Source organism: Homo sapiens, chromosome X (assembly GCF_000001405.40).
Source record: "Homo sapiens chromosome X, GRCh38.p14 Primary Assembly".
NCBI lineage: Eukaryota > Metazoa > Chordata > Mammalia > Primates > Hominidae > Homo > Homo sapiens.
The window spans coordinates 107967699-107988084 of NC_000023.11; the positions used below are offsets into that span (position 1 = coordinate 107967699).

General features: G+C 42.3%; 1 protein-coding gene and 2 pseudogenes across 2 annotated transcripts; 1 reads left to right on the top strand and 2 right to left on the bottom strand.

Annotated features, from left to right (window-relative positions):
• The first annotated feature begins 253 nt into the window (after nucleotides 1-253).
• LOC112267910 (NACHT, LRR and PYD domains-containing protein 10-like) lies at nucleotides 254-18831 on the top strand (annotated as a pseudogene). The gene is made up of 6 exons (NR_171572.1): nucleotides 254-2183; nucleotides 3621-3665; nucleotides 6170-7825; nucleotides 9392-9481; nucleotides 16840-17010; nucleotides 17328-18831. The product of NR_171572.1 is annotated as an NACHT, LRR and PYD domains-containing protein 10-like (transcript).
• On the bottom strand, nucleotides 6196-17293 carry NLRP3P1 (NLR family pyrin domain containing 3 pseudogene 1; annotated as a pseudogene).
• TEX13B (testis expressed 13B) lies at nucleotides 13166-14672 on the bottom strand. Its single transcript, NM_031273.2, has 3 exons — nucleotides 14612-14672; nucleotides 13971-14461; nucleotides 13166-13861 (listed from the first exon to the last, which is right to left on the bottom strand). The coding sequence occupies exons 2-3, from the start codon at nucleotides 14427-14429 to the stop codon at nucleotides 13382-13384; spliced, it is 939 nt and encodes a 312-aa protein (NP_112563.1). The 5' UTR covers nucleotides 14430-14461; nucleotides 14612-14672; the 3' UTR covers nucleotides 13166-13381.

Genomic DNA, 20386 nt, shown 5'->3' on the forward strand with positions numbered 1-20386 from the left:
AAACAGCATGGTACTGGTACCAAAACAGAGAGATAGATCAATGGAACAGAACAGAGCCCTCAGAAATAACGCCACATATCTACAACTATCTGACCTTTGACAAACCTGAGAAAAACAAGCAATGGGGAAAGGATTCCATATTTAATAAATGGTGCTGGGAAAACTGGCTAGCCATATGTAGAAAGCTGAAACTGGATCCCTTCCTTACACCTTGTACAAAAATAAATTCAAGATGGATTAAAGACTTACATGTTAGACCTAAAACCATAAAAACCCTAGAAGAAAACCTAGGAATTACCATTCAGGACATAGGCACGGGCAAAGACTTCATGTCTAAAACACCAAAAGCAATGGCAACGAAAGCCAAAATTGACAAATGGGATCTAATTAAACTAAAGAGCTTCTGCACAGCAAAAGAAACTACCATCAGAGTGAACAGGCAACCCACAAAATGGGAGAAAATTTTTGCAATCTACTCATCTGACAAAGGGCTAATACCCAGAATCTACAATGAACTCAAACAAATTTACAAGAAAAAAACAAACAACCCCATCAAAAAGTGGGCGAAGGACATGAACAGACACTTCTCAAAAGAAGACATTTATGCAGCCAAAAAACACATGAAAAAATGCTCACCATCACTGGCCATCAGAGAAATGCAAATCAAAACCACAATGAGATATCATCTCACACCAGTTAGAATGGCAATCATTAAAAAGTCAGGAAACAACAGGTGCTGGAGAGGATGTGGAGAAATAGGAACACTTTTACACTGTTGGTGGGACTGTAAACTAGTTCAACCATTGTGGAAGTCAGTGTCATTGGGTTTTTTTAAAAAGCTATTCACTCATTCAATTTATTTGATAAATATTTAGTGAATGTCTACTCTGTGCCAAACACTTTCTAGGCATTTACATTCTAGCAGGATGTATCAGTTAGCTATTGCCACAGTGATGTGTAACAATAACCACGAAATTTCCGTGGCATGAAAAATTAATCACTTATTAAGAATTTATCTTCACAGATCTGGAGGCCAGCTGGGACTCAGATGATTAAAGAGGGCTCTGTTGGGTAACTTTATTCAGGCTGGGGTCACTGTACTTTCCTTGCCGCAGTACTGTGGGTAAGCTATGGTGGCTCTGCTTCATGTATTTCTCATCCTCCTTAGACCAGTGAACTAGCTGGGTCTCGTTTCTCTGTGGCTTCTTTCATGAATCATAAGAGATGACATGTCCAACTCTGGTTTCACTCCATTAACCAAAGTCTCATGAATGAGCTCAAAGACAGGAGGTAGGAAAATAAGCTCCAGTTTTTTGTGTGCGGATTTGCAAAGTTCATGACAAAGGTTGAGAAAGGGGCCAGTAATTCAATTTAGGTGGGAAAGACTAACAAAGAACAATAAGCCTAATACATAAGTAAATTATCAAATATATTAGAAGGTGATAAGTAATATTTCAAGATTCTAATGTGTAGCTAAGACTGAGAACTACTGATCTTACAGTGTCAAACCTGGAAAGAAACCTGGTCTAACGTTCCTTGAACCATTTTGAAAATAGTAAAGCAGACCGTTCTCCCAGAAAGGAGAAGAATCTTATTCGAGGTCCATGGATGGATAGAAATGGAGCTAGGACCCAGGTCTTCTGATTCTTTAGATTATTTCTCTTATACCACAGTATTCCAATCTGTAGTCTTAGAATTCTCCCTTTATTGATGGCACCAAAAATATGTTGTGGAAGGACATCATCATTCTTACTTCTCTTGATCTCAGACATTAGAAGTATGCTACCTAATTCCTATACTTCTCTTAGTGACTCAATTCAGAGCCCAATTTGACATTCTCCATATTTGTACCCTTCAAAACTTTATACACATTCTATCCTCTTTCAGCTTTTTTTTCTCTTCAAGTTGAAGACTGTTAGTTTTGGTCTGTCTTCATGTGATTCCCCAGGGTGCTACCTCAGCTGTCTGCTTGGTTATTGGGCCTTCTCTTTTCTCCAGCTCTCTAATGCCTTGAATGAAGAGTATTTCTTGAGTTACTTTTTTACTCTGAGCATCCACTAGGCCTTATAGTCACCGTTGCTGTTCTGGATTACAGTCTTCTTGATTTGCCAGGATGAACAATCAGAAGAAAAGAAAATATATGGAACTTGCTTGTACCTGGAGTTTATTGTCTGGAGAGAATGGTGAGTAACTGAATGAAATAAGAAATGGTATATACTAGGTAAGTCTATTCATTCTCTTTCTCCTGTTTCTTTTCCTCATACCCTTGGAGATTCTTCTGAAACTTTAAAATGTTGTTAGATGTGAATTACTTGGATACAGTATTTACCCATTAATCTCTTGAAACTGTCTCCACAATTTTTATGTTGCCTAAAATAAGGATAAAGACGGAGAAGAGGCAACTGTGGTTTCTGTTGTTTTCCATAATCCCCCAAACATTTACAATTATAAAAGACTCCAAGTCTCTTCCTTTAATGTAACCAGAGCTTTTCACAGGAGACAGCACAGAAGAACAAAGAGTGAAGATTGCTGGAGTCCTGCCTCTTGTGGCTGATTCCTGAAATCCAAGGAATGTTTAGTTGTGGGGAACAGAAACCAGTTATTCTCAACAGACCACTCACTTGCCTGCTCATTTCTGTGACAGTCTAATGTCTGCCCGTCCACACCCTGCTTCTTCCCATTCACCTGTTAGCACCCATCTAGTCACAACTTCTTCTCCACTCTAATCTTACTCTTGCTTTTAAAAGTGTGCAAGAAGTAAACAATTATAGGAATGTGGAGTTGTGTGTGTGCTTGTGTATTCTTATTTATATATCTATATGTAAAGTATCTGGATTGAGTGTGTGTAAAATATGTATTTGAATGTAGATCATCATATATATCTTATATATCTATCAAATTAATATTCAGCAAAGCCCTGTTCTTTCCCATTAGCAAGTTAGGCTCAACGGAAGCCACAACAGAAGCAAGAGGGTAATATTCAGTGGAAAGAAAATAGCAGAAAACAATCACTTCAAATAATGTATGAATCTTTAAGCTCATGCCTAAAATTTTCCTTATTGATGATATAAATTAAAATATCCACAGCTAAATATATGCATAAGGGAAATTCTTTTTTTTAAGAGATAGGATCTCACTCTGTCAGTCAGGCTAGAGTGCAGTCATGCAATCACAGTTCACTACAGCCTTGACCTCCCAGACTCAAGTGATCCTCCTGGCTCAGCCTCCCAAGTATCTGGGAACACAAGTGCACACCACTATACTTGGCTATTTTTTTACTTTCCGTAGAGACAAGACCTCCCTATGTTGCCCAGGCTGGTCTCAAACTCCTGGGCTCAAGTGATCCTCCCACCTTAGACTCCCAAAGCGCTGGGATTACAGGTGTGAGCCACTGTGCCCAGCTGGGAAATTCTTATGTTTTATTTTATGTTGCGTATTAGCTATAAAATACCTTTGTGAGTAAGTTAGAAAAGATGTGAGATGATTTACTTCCTTTGTTGTATTTCTGTTTGGGGAGCAGCATGAATGGCTGTTACAGTGTGGCAAAATTTCTGTGCATTTCAGGTTTTGGTATAAAGGTGTATTTGTGCTACTCCTAACTTTAACTCTTTCTTCCACAGTTGCTTCAAATTCTCTGGCTTCGTTTTCATGTAAAGAGCTTACAGGTAGATGTCTTTTCTATTTTACTCTCTTTTTCTGTTTTGAGAATAGTATTTTCCAAGAACCCAACTACCCATCCCTACCCCGCCCTGCTCCTCTCTAATTTTTCCCTCTTATTCACTGGGGCAACAATCATTGCTTTTTTGGCAACTATAAAGCCCCAAACTGTCACGACAAATAGGGCTTCTATATCATATAGAATATATTCAAATACCTATTCGAATACTGGGAGGACCACTGGTGGTGGTGGTCAAGAGCTAGATGTAGAAAATTTTATTCTGAGAAAAGGCCAGTCCTCTTCTGGAATTATCTAGATCAGGGCCAGCAAACTATAGCTAGTGAGTCAAACCCAACCAGTTGCCTATTTTTGTAAATAAAGCTTTATTGGAATACAGCTATTTGTTTACATATTATCTATGGCTACTTTCACAGTAAGATGGCAGAGTTGAGCAATTGCAACAGAGACCGAAAAGCCTAAACTATTTAAGAAATTTTACAGAAAATGTTTGCCAACCGTTATCTCTATTAGCGTTCCCCAAACTGAGTTCTAGGAACAGTTATGCAATAATTAGTAACTTTGCTGTTAGAAAAGGGTTCTGTAGTCATTTAAGACCAGAAAACTTTGGGTTAAACACAGTTAAACAGCCTTTTTCAACTGTAGGAGAGTTAAAGAATGTTTCATATGCTAGTACAAGAGCCTTTCATATGCTAATAAGCATTGAGAAACTCTAAGAGACTACAGGGTGCACTCCCCTCAACTTATTAATGTCTTGCAGACAGTTTTCCAGGGAACCCTGATTTGGGAAATACTGGCATAGACATTCACTTAACGTAAGTTTGTACTTGATGTCACTTACTAGCATTGGACAAATTACCTAAAGCTATGTAAAGCAGCACTGGCTACATAATTTGTGGGATACAGTACAAAATGAAAATGCAAAACCTCTTTGTCAAGTATTAAGAATTTCAAGACAGCAATAGCAGAGCATTAAACCAAGTATACATCCTTCTGAGCATGGAGACCTGTGTGACTGCACAGACTGCACACTCATGAAGGTGGCCCTGATTATAAGTTTCTATTTCCTCAACTATCAAATGTAGGTAATACCTACTTCATGGGATTATTGTGAGAATTAAATCAGAAATGTACATAAAGGTCCTAACAGTATCTGTCACAGAATAGGCAATAATAAATAACTTGTTTGTAATCCAAAAGCATTTATAGCCATATTCAATAAATATTTATTGAGTGTGTGTTATGTGCTGGGCTCAGTGCCAGGTACTCAGGGTACTTATTGTAAAGGAGATAGACAGATAAGGCCCCTGTCTTCATGTGTATTATTGTATAGTAGAAAAGACAGTGAAAAAGTAAATGAACAAGACAGTTATAAATTGCGATAAGAGCTATAAAGGTAAAAATATGGTGCTGGCGGTGAAACCATGTCTCTACTAAAAATAGAAAAAAAATTAGCCAGGCGTGGTAGCGGGCGCCTGTAGTCCTAGCTACTTGGGAGGCTGAGGCAGGAGAATGGCGTGAACCTGGGAGGTGGAGCTTGCAGTGAGCCAAGATCGCACCACTGCACTCCAGCCTGGGCAGCAGAGCAAGACTCCATCTCAAAAAATATATATATATATATGGTGCTGCGAAGGGAAATAGTAGAGAGGATCTCCTTTAAATTGGGTGGTCAAACAAATCCTAGGAATTCTAGGAAGCAATCCTAGGAATTCTAGGAAGTAATATTTGAGATCAGAAGGATGAAAAAGAGCTTTTCATGGGAAGAGCAGGAGGAAGAATGTTCCAGGTGGAAAGATTAGCTAGCGCAAAGTCTCTGAAGTAGGAGAGAACATGGCATTTTTGAGAACTGAAAGTAGGCCAGTGTGGCTCTAACGTAGAGAGCGAAAAGGAGAATGATAAAAAATGAGGCTAGGGAGGGGAGGTAGAGAAGGCCCAGATCATGAGAACACCTTGTAGGATGAGGATTTTGGATTTTATAGCAAGAACAATGAAAAGCTCTTGAAGGATTTTGGGCAGGGAAGTGACATGATCTAATTGGTATCTGTAGAAGACTGTTTTGGCTGCTGCATAGGAAGGAACCAGTAGATGGGCAAGAATAGATTAGTAGGATGCTATTTGGCCAGTCTAGGAAAGAGGTGACAGTGCCCTGGACTTGGGAGGTATTTGAGGATATATTGGTAAATAAATGGATTTGAGGCTTATTTTGAAAATATAAATGTTAGGCCTTGCTAATTGATTGGATGTAGAGGATTGAAGGAAAAATACTCATAACATTTTTCTGAGCAACTGGATAGCACCACTTAACTGAGATGAGATGCCTGGGGAGGGTTTTTTGGCGGGGACAGAAGAGTATAAAAATCAAGAACTCGGGTTTAGACATGTAAAGTTGAGGATCCTTTGAGACATCTAAGTGGAGATGGTGGTGATGGAGGTACTAGTTAGAGTTGTTGTCTAGGATTCTATAATTACTAACTCTTGCTGTCACCATGTTAGATTACCAGGAAGTATTCAGAAAACATCTAAAAGAAAAATACCTAAAGATAGGAGTTGATAAATGTTATCAGCATGGCAAGCATATAGAGTCACGACTGCTTCTTGTAAAAGACCATGGTATATCAGAAGAGACACCATATGGAATTCCTCAACAAGATCATTTTATTGACATGGAACATGTATTTGATTCTAATGAAGAGGGCTCCAGCTCACCCCGAACTGTGGTGCTTCAGGCATGTGCTGGGACTGGAAAAACAGCTGTGGTGCACAAGTTCATGTTTGACTGGGCAGCAGGAACGGTTACTCCAGGCAGGTGTGACTATCTCATCTACGTCAACTGCATTGAAATCAGCCATATTGCTAACCTTAGTTCTGCTGACCTTATACTAACACTTTTCAAAATATAAATGGACCAATCTTGGACACTATTCTCATATATCCAAAGATTCTGCTCATTCTCGACAGATTTCCTGAGCTGCAGGACCCTGTTGGTGACCAAGAAGAGGATCTTAGTGTTCACCCCCAGGAGAGGAGGCCAGTAGAGAGTCTCTTGTGCAGTTTTGTGAGGAAAAAACTGTTCCCCGAATCCTCCCTCCTGATAACTGCCCGGCCTACAGCCATGAAGAAGCTCCACTCTCTGTTAAAACAACCTATCCAGGCAGAGATATTATGGTTTACAGATACCGAAAAGAGAGCATATTTATTGAGCCAGTTTTCAGGTGCTAATACAACAATGAAAGTCTTTTATGATCTTTGAGAGAATGAAGACCTTGACATTATGTCTTCACTTCCCATCGTCTCCTGGATGATATGCAATGTCCTGCAGTCACAGGGAGATGGTGACAGGACTCTCTTGAGGTCACTTCAGACCATGACTGATGTGTATTTATTCTACTTTTCCAAGTGCCTCAAAACCCTTACAGGTATCTCAGTATGGGAGGGACAAAGTTGCCTGTGGGGTCTTTGCCGTTTGGCTGCAGAGGGTCTGCAAAATCATCAGGTTTTGTTTGCAGTCAGTGACCTCAGAAGACATGGGATAGGAGTGTGTGATACCAACTGCACTTTTCTCAGTCGCTTTTTGAAAAAGGCTGAAGGAGCTGTCAGTGTCTACACTTTCCTTCACTTCAGTTTCCAAGAGTTCTTGACTGCTGTCTTCCATGCCCTGAAGAATGACAATAGCTGGATGTTTTTTTATCAAGCAGAGAAAATGTGGCAAGAAATGTTCCAACAATATGGAAAAGGTTTTTCATCACTAATGATATAATTCTTATTTGGCCTCTTACATAAAGGAAAAGGAAAGGCTGTGGAAACTACTTTTGGAAGAAAAGTTTCCCCAGGACTTCAAGAGGAGTTACTGAAGTGGACTGAGAGAGAAATAAAGGATAAGTCTTCTAGGTTACAGATTGAGCCGGTGGACCTGTTTCACTGTTTGTATGAGATTCAGGAAGAAGAATATGCAAAAAGGATAATTGATGATTTACAGTCAATTATACTGCTTCAACCTACCTATACAAAAATGGACATTCTGGTTATGTCCTTCTGTGTAAAAAGCAGTCACAGTCACCTGTCAGTGTCTCTGAAGTGTCAGCACCTACTTGGATTTGAGGAGGAAGAGTGAGCCTCAACATTCGTGCCACCAGCCTTAACACTTAATCAGTGCGTATATCCATGTCTTTCCTCCAGTTTTTATCCTTCCCAGACAACAGGCACTGTAGTAGTCAGTGTGTGTGTGTGTGTGTGTGTGTGTGTGTGTGTGTGTATTAGTATTCATTGTCACTGTGTGGATGTGGTTTGTAATTCTAAAGTGTTATGAGCATGTAAGGTCATCAAGTTGAAGACTCTGCTATTTTGGTGTAATGACCATTCTGGAAAAAGGTATAAACGTAACATTTGATTGGTTGTCACTCTCCTCTAAATATACTTCATCACTGAGGCCTCAAGGAACTTCAGGTTAGTAAGGGGCAGAGGTACACTCTTGTATTATCTTGCTATAAATCCTGGTTATTTCCATCAGAGCTTGCAACTTCACAGAAGGTCATGAGCTGAAGTTGAAAGAGGCTTAGGTAAGTTACTTTTATAATATGGACTCTGTATACCATAAAATACAGTCCTACTGGCTTACTGACTAAAGCAGCAAAGAAGACTTATACCTGTGTTATCTAGAAAATGCTGTAAGTCTGTTCTCAATATCTGGGTTAAGATTGATAATGCCTCTCCCTTAGTTTTCAGGCCAGTTGAGGGGCAGGGGACTGGGAGGAGAGGGGTCAGCAGAAAGCTCCACTTGAGGAATGAAATAACTCAAGTTGTGTCCCTTATAGTTGTATTTCTTGTGTGGGGAATAGCATAAAGGTGGAAATGAGCATGGGGTATGTGTGTTTGAGGGAAATGAGAGGGAGGGAGGCATTAACAAGAATTTGTGTTTGGAACTAGAGAGGGAAGGACCTCTAGTTCCTTCCCTCTCTAGTTTAAGAGAGGTTTAACGGACTCAGAATTATGAAAGACCTTGTCTACAAGGTCTTGACCAATTCTGTATATGTATATAATATACAGCCTTATTCCAGTTGTATATTATAAAGTAAAATAATGGACCAATACATTTAAAGTTGAAACACTGATGGAAACAAAGGGTCTTCTGGTTCATTCTGGGTTTCCAGAAAGTCAACCTTAGATGGCGTCCTCCCCTATAACCCTTATTGCCTTTATCAGAGGGCTTAAACTCTTATCAAAAATTTAACCCAACATTCTTCTTTCCCAAGCGTATTGGCTATGTAAGAGTTTACTATTGAGCTTTCCTGGTTTTTAATTATTGTTATGAATTCTTCTATTAGTACCGACAACCAAGAACCAGTTATATTGTAAAGTTAGCTTGGGCAAGTCACTTGACGACTCAGAGCATGTGGAAAATGGTGATTATAATACTTGTTATTGGATTAAGGGCCAGATAAGATAATTTGTGAAAATAAAGTGCTTACCTCAGTGCCTGGCACATAGTAACATGGTTTTGGACTCAGACCTGAGTAATGACCTCAGTTCTGTACCTACCTATGTGACCTTGAGCAGATTACTTTTTGTGCCCTAATTTCCTTATCTGCAAAATGGGATAATACGTCTCAAGGTTTTGGGAAGGGGTAAATTAGTGCTACTAGCAAGGTAACAAAAGCCAAATAAGCCTTTTACTTAAGTTTTATTTTAAATTACTTTTTATTTCCTCATCTCTTTTAGGTCCTTTCAGCTGCGCAGTTTGCCAGTGTGTCAGCTACACCTGCTCTGCCAAGCACTGCGTACTCCATACTGTAAAATCAAAGACCTGAAGTAAGTCGAACTTTGCTTTAAACTCTTAGGTATTTGCAGGTAAAGATTAGGTTTCTAGAAATTGCACTCCCAGCTGATTGACCTGAAAATAAAATATAGCTAGTTTTCAGCTTCGCCACAGTGGAGCAACAAATGAAGAGATATGCTACAGGCCTAGAAGGGGCAGGAAGGAGTCAGGCCCAGAACTCTACCCGCCCGTCCTGCCTTTTCCCCTTTTGTATGTACTGTTTTGCTGTAATGAGTAAGTGGACGGTTGTAACACCTGAGAGAGAAATTTGGGTGTGCTGCCCCACTTGGATCTGCCACCCCAACTTTCTTTTCCTCCCAGACTGCCACTGCTCTCCCCCTTAGTTTTCTTTCAGTTGGGTCTTATCCTACTCCATGCAGCTTGACGATCCTTTTCTCTCCTTCCATTCCCCACCTTTACCCCGTAGTTATTCCCCAAAGTACCCAAAGAGGATCCCACCCCTGCCCTGCCTTTCCATCTTCACTTACTTCCAAGCACTTTGTCCACAACACAAACACACAAGCAGGTGCCCCCTTGTTTTCACACCCCTTTGCCTTATAGATCAATGTCTGCTCTTCTTCTTTCCTCCTGTTCCAGAGGAAAAGGCAGCCCTTGCAAGCCACCCAAGCCAGTAAATTCACTTCATTATTTTTGTATTTTTGTGAATAATTATTTTACTTTCATAACACAGAGGTATATAAAGAAAGAAAAGCCCTCCACCCAGCTGTCCCATACCCCATCCCACCCTATATCCCCATACCCTGCTGCCTCCTATCCCCTGACCCTGAGCCCACCCCCACCCCAGGTACCTTGTTTGCTAAATATATTTCCAGACCATTTTCTATGCTTACACAAACATAAAACTGTAACGTAAGACAAACATAAATACATAAATTTGTAACATTCATATACACACTCACAGAACTTTGGGGAGTTTTGTTTTACAAAAACAAAAGCAACCTTGTCATATGATTTTTTCTTCATTTAACAATACAGGGGCCATGCCTCCAATACAGTATGCAAAATCTACCACATTCTTTCACAAGTGTTTTGCATTTTCAAGCTTTCTTCAGCTATCTCCTTCTCCATGGCTCAGATTTCTCCCATATTCAAAAGAACCGGCTGGGCACGGTGGCTCATGCCTGTAATCTCAGCACTTGGGAGGCTGAGGCAGGTGGATTGCCTGAGGTCAGGAGTTTGAGACCAGCCTGGCTAACATGGTTTCTACTAAAATTACAAAAATTAGCCGGGCGTGGTGGCACATGCCTGTAGTCCCAGCTACTCAGGAAGCTGAGGCAGGAGAATCACTTGAACCCGGGAGGCAGAGGTTGGAGTGAGCCAAGATTGCACCACTGCACTCCAGCATGGGCAGCAGAGCGAGACTCCGTCTCAGGAAAAAAAAGAAAATTAAAGAAAAAAAATCCTCTCTCAACTGAGTATCTCACTTCAATCCTTCCCTTCACAACCAAGAATCCTTGAGGAAGAGCCTCCCTCACTGACTCCACATCATCCTCACTCACTCCTCACTTCCGCAGTTTGGCTTCTGCCCTTGCCGCTCCCCTAGATCTGCTGGAAGATCCAAAGTAAATGCCAGACCCAGTGGATACTTTTCAGCTCCTGAGAGGGCCCCTCAGCTTTATTGACCTTTTTCTCCTAATTCTTGCCGTTCTGACTGCTCCTAAGTACCTCATTTTCCAACCAGGGACAATTTTGCCCTCTAGTGGACATGTGGGAGTATCTGGAGGCATTTTTGGTTGTTACAACTGGGACTCTGAGGGGGTGGATGCTCTGGCAACTAGTGGGTAGAGGCTAGGAATTCTGCTAAACATCCTACAATGTACTGGACAGCCCCCTGCAACAAAGAATTATCCAGCTCCAAATGTCAAGAGTACTGAGACTAAGAAACCCTGCCCTAGAGATATAGAAAGAAACCCAAAGACATTTCTGAAACTGCAGGCCAGGAACCTGGCCCTCAATCCTGATTATTGTTCATCCCCAACAGGAGAAAACCTAAAAATCAAGTTTAGCTGCAGCAGAGATGCCCCAGGGCCATGACAGCTTCTTAGTCTCTAGGTCCACAGATCCTGGGCAATATCCAGGGCTCCTTCAGTTGTGTCTCAGTCTGGTCCAGGTGTAGCCCCTTCTCATCCTTCCACCTGTGCGCTAAAACATACATGTAGCCCCCGTCAACAAAACTTACAATCATCAGAGGGAGAGAAGCAGACTAACCCGTCACCTACCCCCTTACCGTACCCACTCCTATCCTCCTCCACCTCACCCCTTCCCTCTGGAAGTTGATTTCCCATTGGGATATGTTTCTGTTCTGTTCTACATTTCTGAATTCACTGAGAGCTTTGTAGCCAGATTTCCCTCCCACATTTATCATGGTGGTGGGTTGGGGGAGAGAATCTCTCAAGATGGCACCATGCTTTGGCTCATAGTCTAGACCAGCAAACCCTCTGAGCACTATCAGTTGCTGACTCACCTCCTTGGCAGTGGCAGTTCTCTTTTCAGATCTGACTGCCCTGGTTCTACTCACTGGGGACTGGAAAGGATTCTCCTGTCATGGGGCCATACAGTCATAGCAGTCTGCACCTGCATGGTGCTGGTGTCTTCTGTAGGTAGGCCTAAGGGATTCCCTTAGGGGTGGCAAATCTCTGCTGTTGATTTGAGTCAGGATGAACCTGGGGTTCATCCTGGGCCTGTTTTGATTGTTTCTTGTGATATAACTCACTCAGAGCATGAATGAACTTCTATCCAGTTCATTCATGGAAACTCTTGGGATTCAGGAATCTCCACTGCTCACCACACCCTGATGCAACTCCCCAGCCAGTCCCACCATTTTCTTTAATGGTCTTTTGTTCAAAATTGCTCTTCTGGTACAAACTTCTGACTGGGAAATAATCTGGTTGCTCAGAACAGAAACTCACTCAAATTAGTTTAAAGTAAAGGGGATCTGTGTAAAGTACATTTTCCTGTAGCACAACTACAGGAAGTGAAAAGTGATTGGGCCATCACTACCCTCTCCATCTCTCTGTAGTCACAGGATGAACTCCTCTATGCCTGTCTGCTCCCTGAAACCTCATACTGGCGTCCTCTAAAAGACACTTGACTCTGTAAAGCATCCAGTTCTGTTCCCCCACAGCCAGGGCCAGGCCTCAGCTATGGCCTTGGTGTCCATGGCTGTGACCCTGGCCCCAACTCCAAGTGACCCACTGCTTCATTGCCCAACACTATTCTGACTGTGGAATCTGCCTGTCTGTTCAGATTTTCTAACGTAAAAATTCATTTGGCTCAGGATTGGTCAAATATCCACTCCTGCTCCAATTATCTAAAGCCTACATGAAGGGAGAGAGTGTAGGTGTTACATACTGCCCAGGTCCGACAGATACTTAAGATAGGGAGCTAGAGACACACACACAAATAAAAACTGCAGTAGTTCTGGAGTGTTGACTACTAATACTCTGAAATACAAATGGAGTCATTAAAACATGTCTCTCCCTGCCTGTCATCTACATCCTCCCACCCACAACCCCGCCTCCCCGCCCCCCTACTGTCCAATCTTCCCACTCATCCCCTTTCCCCCACTCCACCCAATCCCCCTCCCACCTCTCCCCTCTCCCCCTGAAGATTGATTTCCCATTGAGATATATTTCTGTTCTATTTTACATTTCTGAATTTACTGAGGCTTTTGCAGCCAGATTCGCCTCCCACAGAGGAAGCAATTTTCCCTCCATGAAAAATTCACAGCTTTACACCACGGGCAGTCCCAGTTCCCTGGCCTGCGATATACTGGAGGTCTTCTCTGCTGATGGAGTTCGGAGTCTCTCCTGTCTCTTGGGGGCTCTTGAGGGTCTATTCCCTGGGCCTCCACATCTGACCACAGGCTAGCATCAGAGGCCCCCCAGTTGAAAGGCATCTGAGTTGGAACCCGTTCTGTGACCTTTGCTGGTGAAGGGGGTATATTGGGTATGGCTGAGAAGGCGGACAAAGGGCATGGGTATGAGTATGTGAATGAGGTAGGGAGCTGGACAGGAAGAGGCTCCAGTGAGACTGTGGACCCAAGCCCAGAGAAGACAGACATGGCTGTTTGTACTGACCTGAGATCTTTCTCCCTCTGCCCCGCAAAGGTGTAATTTGCCTGCTACAATAGCTCCGAGGGGCTGCCTGAAGCCTCCTCCCAGCCCCTGCAAGACCTCTGCGGGGGCAGGCCCTGCCTCTGCATACCTCTCCTCTCCTTTTCCTCCAGCAGCACCAGCAGCAGCCACCGCCTCCTTTTCCTGCTCACCTGCTCCTTCTGTCCAATCCCCTCCGGCAGTGGCCAGGCCTGGAAACACTGTAGCCTGGCCCTGTCCCTGGGGAGGTGCCAGCTCCTGGAGAGAAGTAGGCAGAGCTGAAACACATTCTGGGGACAGGGCAGGGGGTCCGGACAGGTTGGGGCAGGGCAGAGGCATTGGACAGGGACCATTCGGGGGATCTTACGGCATGGAAGAGCTTCCATCTCAGCATGTCCCGCTCTCTCTGCACCTCCGCAAGGCTGGTCTCGGTTAGCTGCAACTGGAAGGTCGCCTCATTGCATTCCATCTCCTGCTGTTCCTTGAGTTCCGTCAGGTTTGAGGCCAAGACCAGCGCAGCTGATCTGTGCAGTTTGGCAAAGCCTTGCAGCCACTGCACCCTGCGGTTTTGTAACTGCCCCTGCCTGTGGGCAAAGCGCACACCCAAGGCCAGGCTGCCCCAGGTGCAGGCCTCTTTGACCTCGCTGGGCACCTCGCTGTCCTCCAGGATGGCCCTGAGCTTGTCTTCCACCTCCTCCCAGGATAAGGATATATTCTCGAAGTAGAACTCGGGGCCTTTCGTGTGCCTGGCCATTTTCTCGATGATGAAGGCCACCACGTTTCCGTGCCGGAACCCACTACTGGGGTCCTCAGGTCTCAAGGCCATGATCGCCTAGGGGCTTAACGGTTTCACTAGCCCTGTGTGGATGGAGCAGCCAATAGGTTTCTTTCCTCCTCCTTAGCCCCTCCCCTCATCTGTCTTCTCCGCCCTCCCACCTCTGACAAGACCCTCCTAATGACCCTCTGACCGGCTTGTCCTACCCTAGGACATCTCCCACCAGGCCTCACCTCTTCAGCCAGGGCCAGAGGAAGTACAGGCCAACCCCGCTGCTTAACACGCCTGAAGAGAGGGTGGCCTCTTTCCCTCCTAGGGCTCTGCGGGAAAAGAAGCCTCAGGGCCAACCCATGAGGATTTTACTCTGGGACTGTTCCAATTTCCAGAGACTGTAGGGGTGAAAGGGAGTGAGTGAGGAAGGCCTCTGCCATTCCACTGGGACAAAAGGGAACCTGCCACATGGTCGGGAGACCTTGAAGGCTGAAAGAAACAGGAGTGGTCCGGAAGGACTTAGGACCAAAAAAAGTATTTGTGAACAAGTTGAAGACTTATCCCTCCCCATCATAATGGTTTGTGCCATGCCAGGGGAGTTTCGCCCCCAACTGGAATATTCTAGAGCAGGAAACAGCCCCAACCCCTCAGTTGCCCTTGGAGGAAGAGGGTGGAGCCAGGAGCGGAGCTTATCCCCTGTTTGCTCAGGACTAAACATCCCAGACACCCTAACAAATCCTGGCCTGCCTTTCCTCCCTTAGCTCCTCTTTCCCCACACTCCTCCCATCACCCCTTCTCCCACTCCTCCCCTACTGAAACGCCTTGAATCTTGAAGCAACTGTGGGAGAAAGAGAGTTAGGAGTAGCATAAATACACCTTTTTACCAAAACATGAAATATCAGAGATCTTCCATCAGAGGGATATGAATATGTCTCTTAAAACCTTCGGCCGGGCGCGGTGGCTCATGCCTGTAATCCCAGTACTTTGGGAGACCGAGATGGGCGGATCACGAGGTCAGAAGATCGAGACCATCCTGGCTAACAGGGTGAAACCCCGTCTCTACTAAAATTACAAAAAATTAGCCAGATGTGGTGGCACGCGCATGTAGTCCCAGCTACTCGGGAGGCTGAGGCAGGAGAATCGCTTGAACCCACGAGGCGGAGGTTGCAGTGAGCCGAGATCGCACCACTGCACTGTAGCCTGGGTGACAGAGTGAGACTCTGTCTCAAACAAACAAACACAAAAACAAGAAAACCTTGAATGACTTTCTGAGACCCACAAGATAAATCAGACAAATCTCAGGTTGAGTCCAGCGTTGCTACGTATTACATGACATTGTACTGTAACTGAATCTGTTTCTACCTATGGATCTATGATGATGGCCAATGACAAAAGGGCATGTAAAGTTGTAGGAGTAATGTTTTCTATGATCCCGTATTTGTGTGTATGTGTGTGTTTGCATATGTTTGTATGTTTCTATAATCTTGGAGAACAGAATGAGAGAGGATATATAGCAGACTCAACATTAATTATCTCTGGGAAGTGGGGTTGGACTGGAGGTTAGAAAAAAAGTTTTTAACTTTAAAATACATTTTTCTCTAATTTCGCTTGTTACAAAGAGCATATAACTAACTATATGTATGCATACATCACAAATCTGGAAAGTTATATACTAACACTTTAACAGTGGTTATCTTTGGGTAATAGGAATACAGTACTTTAAAAAATATTCTTGACATTTTTCTCTATTGTAAAATTGTTTATAATAAACGTGTTATGTTTTTCAAAATTGAAAAAAAATGTTTCTCCCAGTAACAGCTGATCATTGTAAATAATTTTTAAGTGCTTGGAAAGTACTTCTATAATCCTACCCTTCCTTCAACCTGGGTGATAATCCCTCTTAATAGTTATATAGTCTTTTAGATAGGCCATAGCAAGTAATTTTTAGTTTTTCAAACGAAGCATCTTCTCTCTTCCTCTGTGGCCCTTGCACAGGCTCCTCTGTGCATGCACGGATTTCTCCTCATCCCCTCCTGCTCTCTCCACTCCCATTCTTTTCATTCACCTAACTCCTATACAGTTTCTATTCCCTTTTCATGACAGTGCTCAAACATTTCTTCCTCTTGTATTTCCTGATTCTCCAGACCCCACCTCAAGCTAGGCTGAATTGTGCAACCTTTTTGTGTCCCCATAACAACTTGTGCATATGTCTGACGGTACTTTTCACACTGTATTGTAATCTGTGATTTTCTCGTCATTTTTCTCCATCAACTGGGGATTCCTGGAGGGTTTAGTCTGTGTCTTAATTATCTTTGTGTTTTCAGCATCTAGCACAGTGGTAAGCACCCAATATATTAATTATTGAATGAATTGAAATAATTTATTACATCAGCAAGGTGCTAACAAGTACCTCTAAAGATATCTCTTATTTTTTTTGTTTGTTTCTGAAATGTATTTTTTCTCCACACAGACTGATTTTCTGTCGCCTCACAGCTTCTTGTGGTAGGGACCTCTCCTCAGTATTTGAAACTAACCAGCATCTGACAGATTTCGAATTTGTAAAAAATACCCTCGAAGATTCAGGAATGAAGCTTCTGTGTGAAGGATTAAAACAGCCCAACTGTGTCTTACAGACATTGAGGTAATTGTAGCAGGATAATTTGTTATTTGATATTCTTATTTTGGGGGTCAATTTCTATTTCTGTTGGGGGAGAGCATGAATGTGGTAATGAGGTCATTCTTCTGTTCTCTAAAGGTGGTACCGGTGCCTTATCTCTTCTGCTTCTTGTGGGGCTCTAGCAGCTGTTCTTAGCACCAGTCAGTGGCTCACTGAACTGGAATTTAGTGAGACAAAACTGGAAGCTTCAGCTTTGAAATTGCTCTATGGAGGCTTAAAAGATCCAAATTGCAAATTACAGAAGCTCAAGTAAGTTGTAACTGTTAGTTTTCATTCTGCAGGAATATTTGAAAAATATGCAACTCAAGACGGATGTCTTAGGATCAAAACACATTTCAAGGAGTCATGAAGAGGAGGAATAAATGTGGCAGTCCCTAAAGTTGCTTCTGTGTAACAAGTTTAGGAAGACAATTTTCATTTTAAGTGGAAACATTATCAATAACAATAACTCATGCTTAGCAATTATTGAGTACTAAGCATTGTGCTGAGTATGCACAAATTCTTTTAATCTGCACAACAGCTGTGAGAGATCCAGATTATTACTGGTATTTTCGCAGATGAGGAAATGGAAGAGGTCCAATATAGTTAGGGTAAAAAAATATGGCAAAGGCCCAATTCAAAACTCAAATGTGTCTGACTTCAAGTCCACCATAATCACATTAATTAAAAAAAAGTGTTATACATGTTAGTCAAGGTTCTCCAGAGAAACAGAACTAATTGCGTGTGTGTGTGTGTGTGTGTGTGTGTGTGTGTGTGTGTGTGTGTGTGTGTGTAGAGAGAGAGAGAGCCAGAGCCAGAAACAGATTTATTTTTAAAAATTGGCTTATGCAGTTTTGGAGGCTGGCAAGTCCAAAACCTGAATGGTAGGCCGGCAGGCTAGAGAATTGGGAAAGAGTCAATGTTGTGCTTTGAGCCTGAAGGTTGTCTGGTGGTAGAACTCCCTTTTCTGAGGAAGTCAGTCTTTTTCTATTAAGGCTTTCAAGTGACTGGACGAAGCCAAACCATACTATGGATGATAATCTACTTTACTCAAAATGTACTGATTAAAATGTTAATTTCACCTAAAAAGTACTTTCACAGAAACATCTAGAATAATACTTGACAAAATATCTGGGTACCATGGCCTAGCCAAATTGACATATAAAATTAATCATCACAATATGTATGTGGGATTTTTTTTAAAGCAAAAGCTCTTTAGCATTCAAGTGTTATGAAATCCACATTGAAAACTCATTTTATGCAAAGTACCTCTATTTAAAATTTCTAAATTGGGGAGATATAAATGCATCTCCATATGAGCTGTCTCTCTCTCTTTTTAATGCACAAGGATTTATTCTCTCTTTTTTATTATACTTTAAGTTTTAGGGTACATGTGCACAATACGCAGGTTTGTTACATATGTATACATGTGCCATGTTGGTGTGCTGCACCCATTAACTCGTCATTTAGCATTAGGTATATCTCCTAATGCTATCCCTCCCCCCTCCCCCCACCCCACAACAGGCCCCGGTGTGTGATGTTCCCCTTCCTGTGTCCATGTGATCTCATTGTTCAATTCCCACCTATGAGTGAGAACATGCGGTGTTTGGTTTTTTGTCCTTGCGATAGTTTGCTGAGAATGATGGTTTCCAGCTTCATCCATGTCCCTACAAAGGACATGAACTCATCATTTTTTATGGCTGCATAGTATTCCATGGTGTATATGTGCCACATTTTCTTAACCCAGTCTATCATTGATGGACGTTTGGGTTGGTTCCAAGTCTTTGCTATTATGAATAGTGCCGCAATAACCATATGTGTGCATGTGTCTTTATAGCAGCATGTTTTATAATCCTTTGGCTATATACCCAGTAATGGGATGGCTGGGTCAAATGATAATTCTAGGTCTAGATCCCTGAGGAATCGCCACACTGACTTCCACAATGGATGAACTAGCTTACAGTCCCACCAACAGTGTAAAAGTGTTCCTATTTCTCCACATCCCCTTCAGCACCTGCTGTTTCCTGACTTTAATGATCGCCATTCTAACTGGTGTGAGATGGTATCTCATTGTGGTTTTGATTTGCATTTCTCTGATGGCCAGTGATGATGAGCATTTTTTCATGTGTCTTTTGGCTGCATAAATGTCTTCTTTTGAGAAGTGTCTTTGCATGTCCTTCGCCTACTTTTTGATGGGGCTGTTTGTTTTTTTCTTGTAAGTTTGTTTGAGTTCATTGTAGATTCTGGATATTAGCCCTTTGTCAGATGAGTAGATTGCAAAAATTTTCTCCCATTCTATAGGTTGCCTGTTCACTCTGATAGTAGTTTCTTTTGCTGTGCAGAAGCTCTTGAGTTTAATTAGATCCCATTTGTCAATTTTGGCTTTTGTTGCCATTGCTTTTGGTGTTTTAGACATGAAGCCCTTGCCCATGCCCATGTCCTGAATGGTATTGCCTAGGTTTTCTTCTAGGGTTTTTATGGTTTTAGATCTAACATTTAAGTCTTTAATCCATCTTGAATTAATTTTTGTATAAGGTGTAAGGAAGGGATCCAGTTTCAGCTTTCTACATATGGCTAGCCAGTTTTCCCAGCACCATTTATTAAATATGGAATCCTTTCCCCATTGCTTGTTTTTGTCAGCTTTGTCAAAGATCAGATGGTTGTAGATGTGTGGTACTATTTCTGAGGGCTCTGTTCTATTCCATTGGTCTATATCTCTGTTTTGGTACCAGTACCATGTTGTTTTGGTTACTGTAGCCTTGTAATATAGTTTGAAGTCAGGTAGCATGATGCCTCCAGCTTTGTTCTTTTTGCTTAGGATTGTCTTGGCAATGTGGGCTCTTTTTTGGTTCCATATGAACTTTAAAGTAGTTTTTTCCAATTCTGTGAAGAAAGTCATGATAGCTTGATGGGGATGGCATTGAATGTATAAATTACCTTGGGCAGTATGACCATTTTCACGATATTGATTCTTCCTACCCATGAGCATGGAATGTTCTTCCATTGGTTTGTATCCTCTTTTATTTCATTGCGCAGTGGTTTGTAGTTCTCCTTGAAGAGGTCCTTCACATCCCTTGTAAGTTGGATTCCTAGGTATTTTATTCTCGTTGAAGCAATAGTGAATGGGAGTTCACTCATGATTTGACTCTCTGTTTGTCTGTTATTGGTGTATAAGAATGCTTGTGATTTTTGCACATTGATTTTATATCCTGAGACTTTGCTGAAGTTGCTTATCAGCTTAAGGAGATTTTGGGCTGAGATGATGGGGTTTTCTAAATATACAATCATGTCATCTGCAAACAGGGACAATTTGACTTCCTCTTTTCCTAATTGAATACCCTTTATTTCTTTCTCCTGCCTG

Excerpts from the sequence above, each read along its gene's own strand:
- TEX13B (NM_031273.2), bottom strand. The coding sequence starts at position 14,429 with ATGGCCTTGAGACCTGAGGACCCCAGTAGTGGGTTCCGGCACGGAAAC. Across the intron at positions 13,862-13,970 it reads GATGGAAGCTCTTCCATGCC|GAGCTGGCACCTCCCCAGGG; the intron begins GTAAGATCCCCC and ends ACTTCTCTCCAG.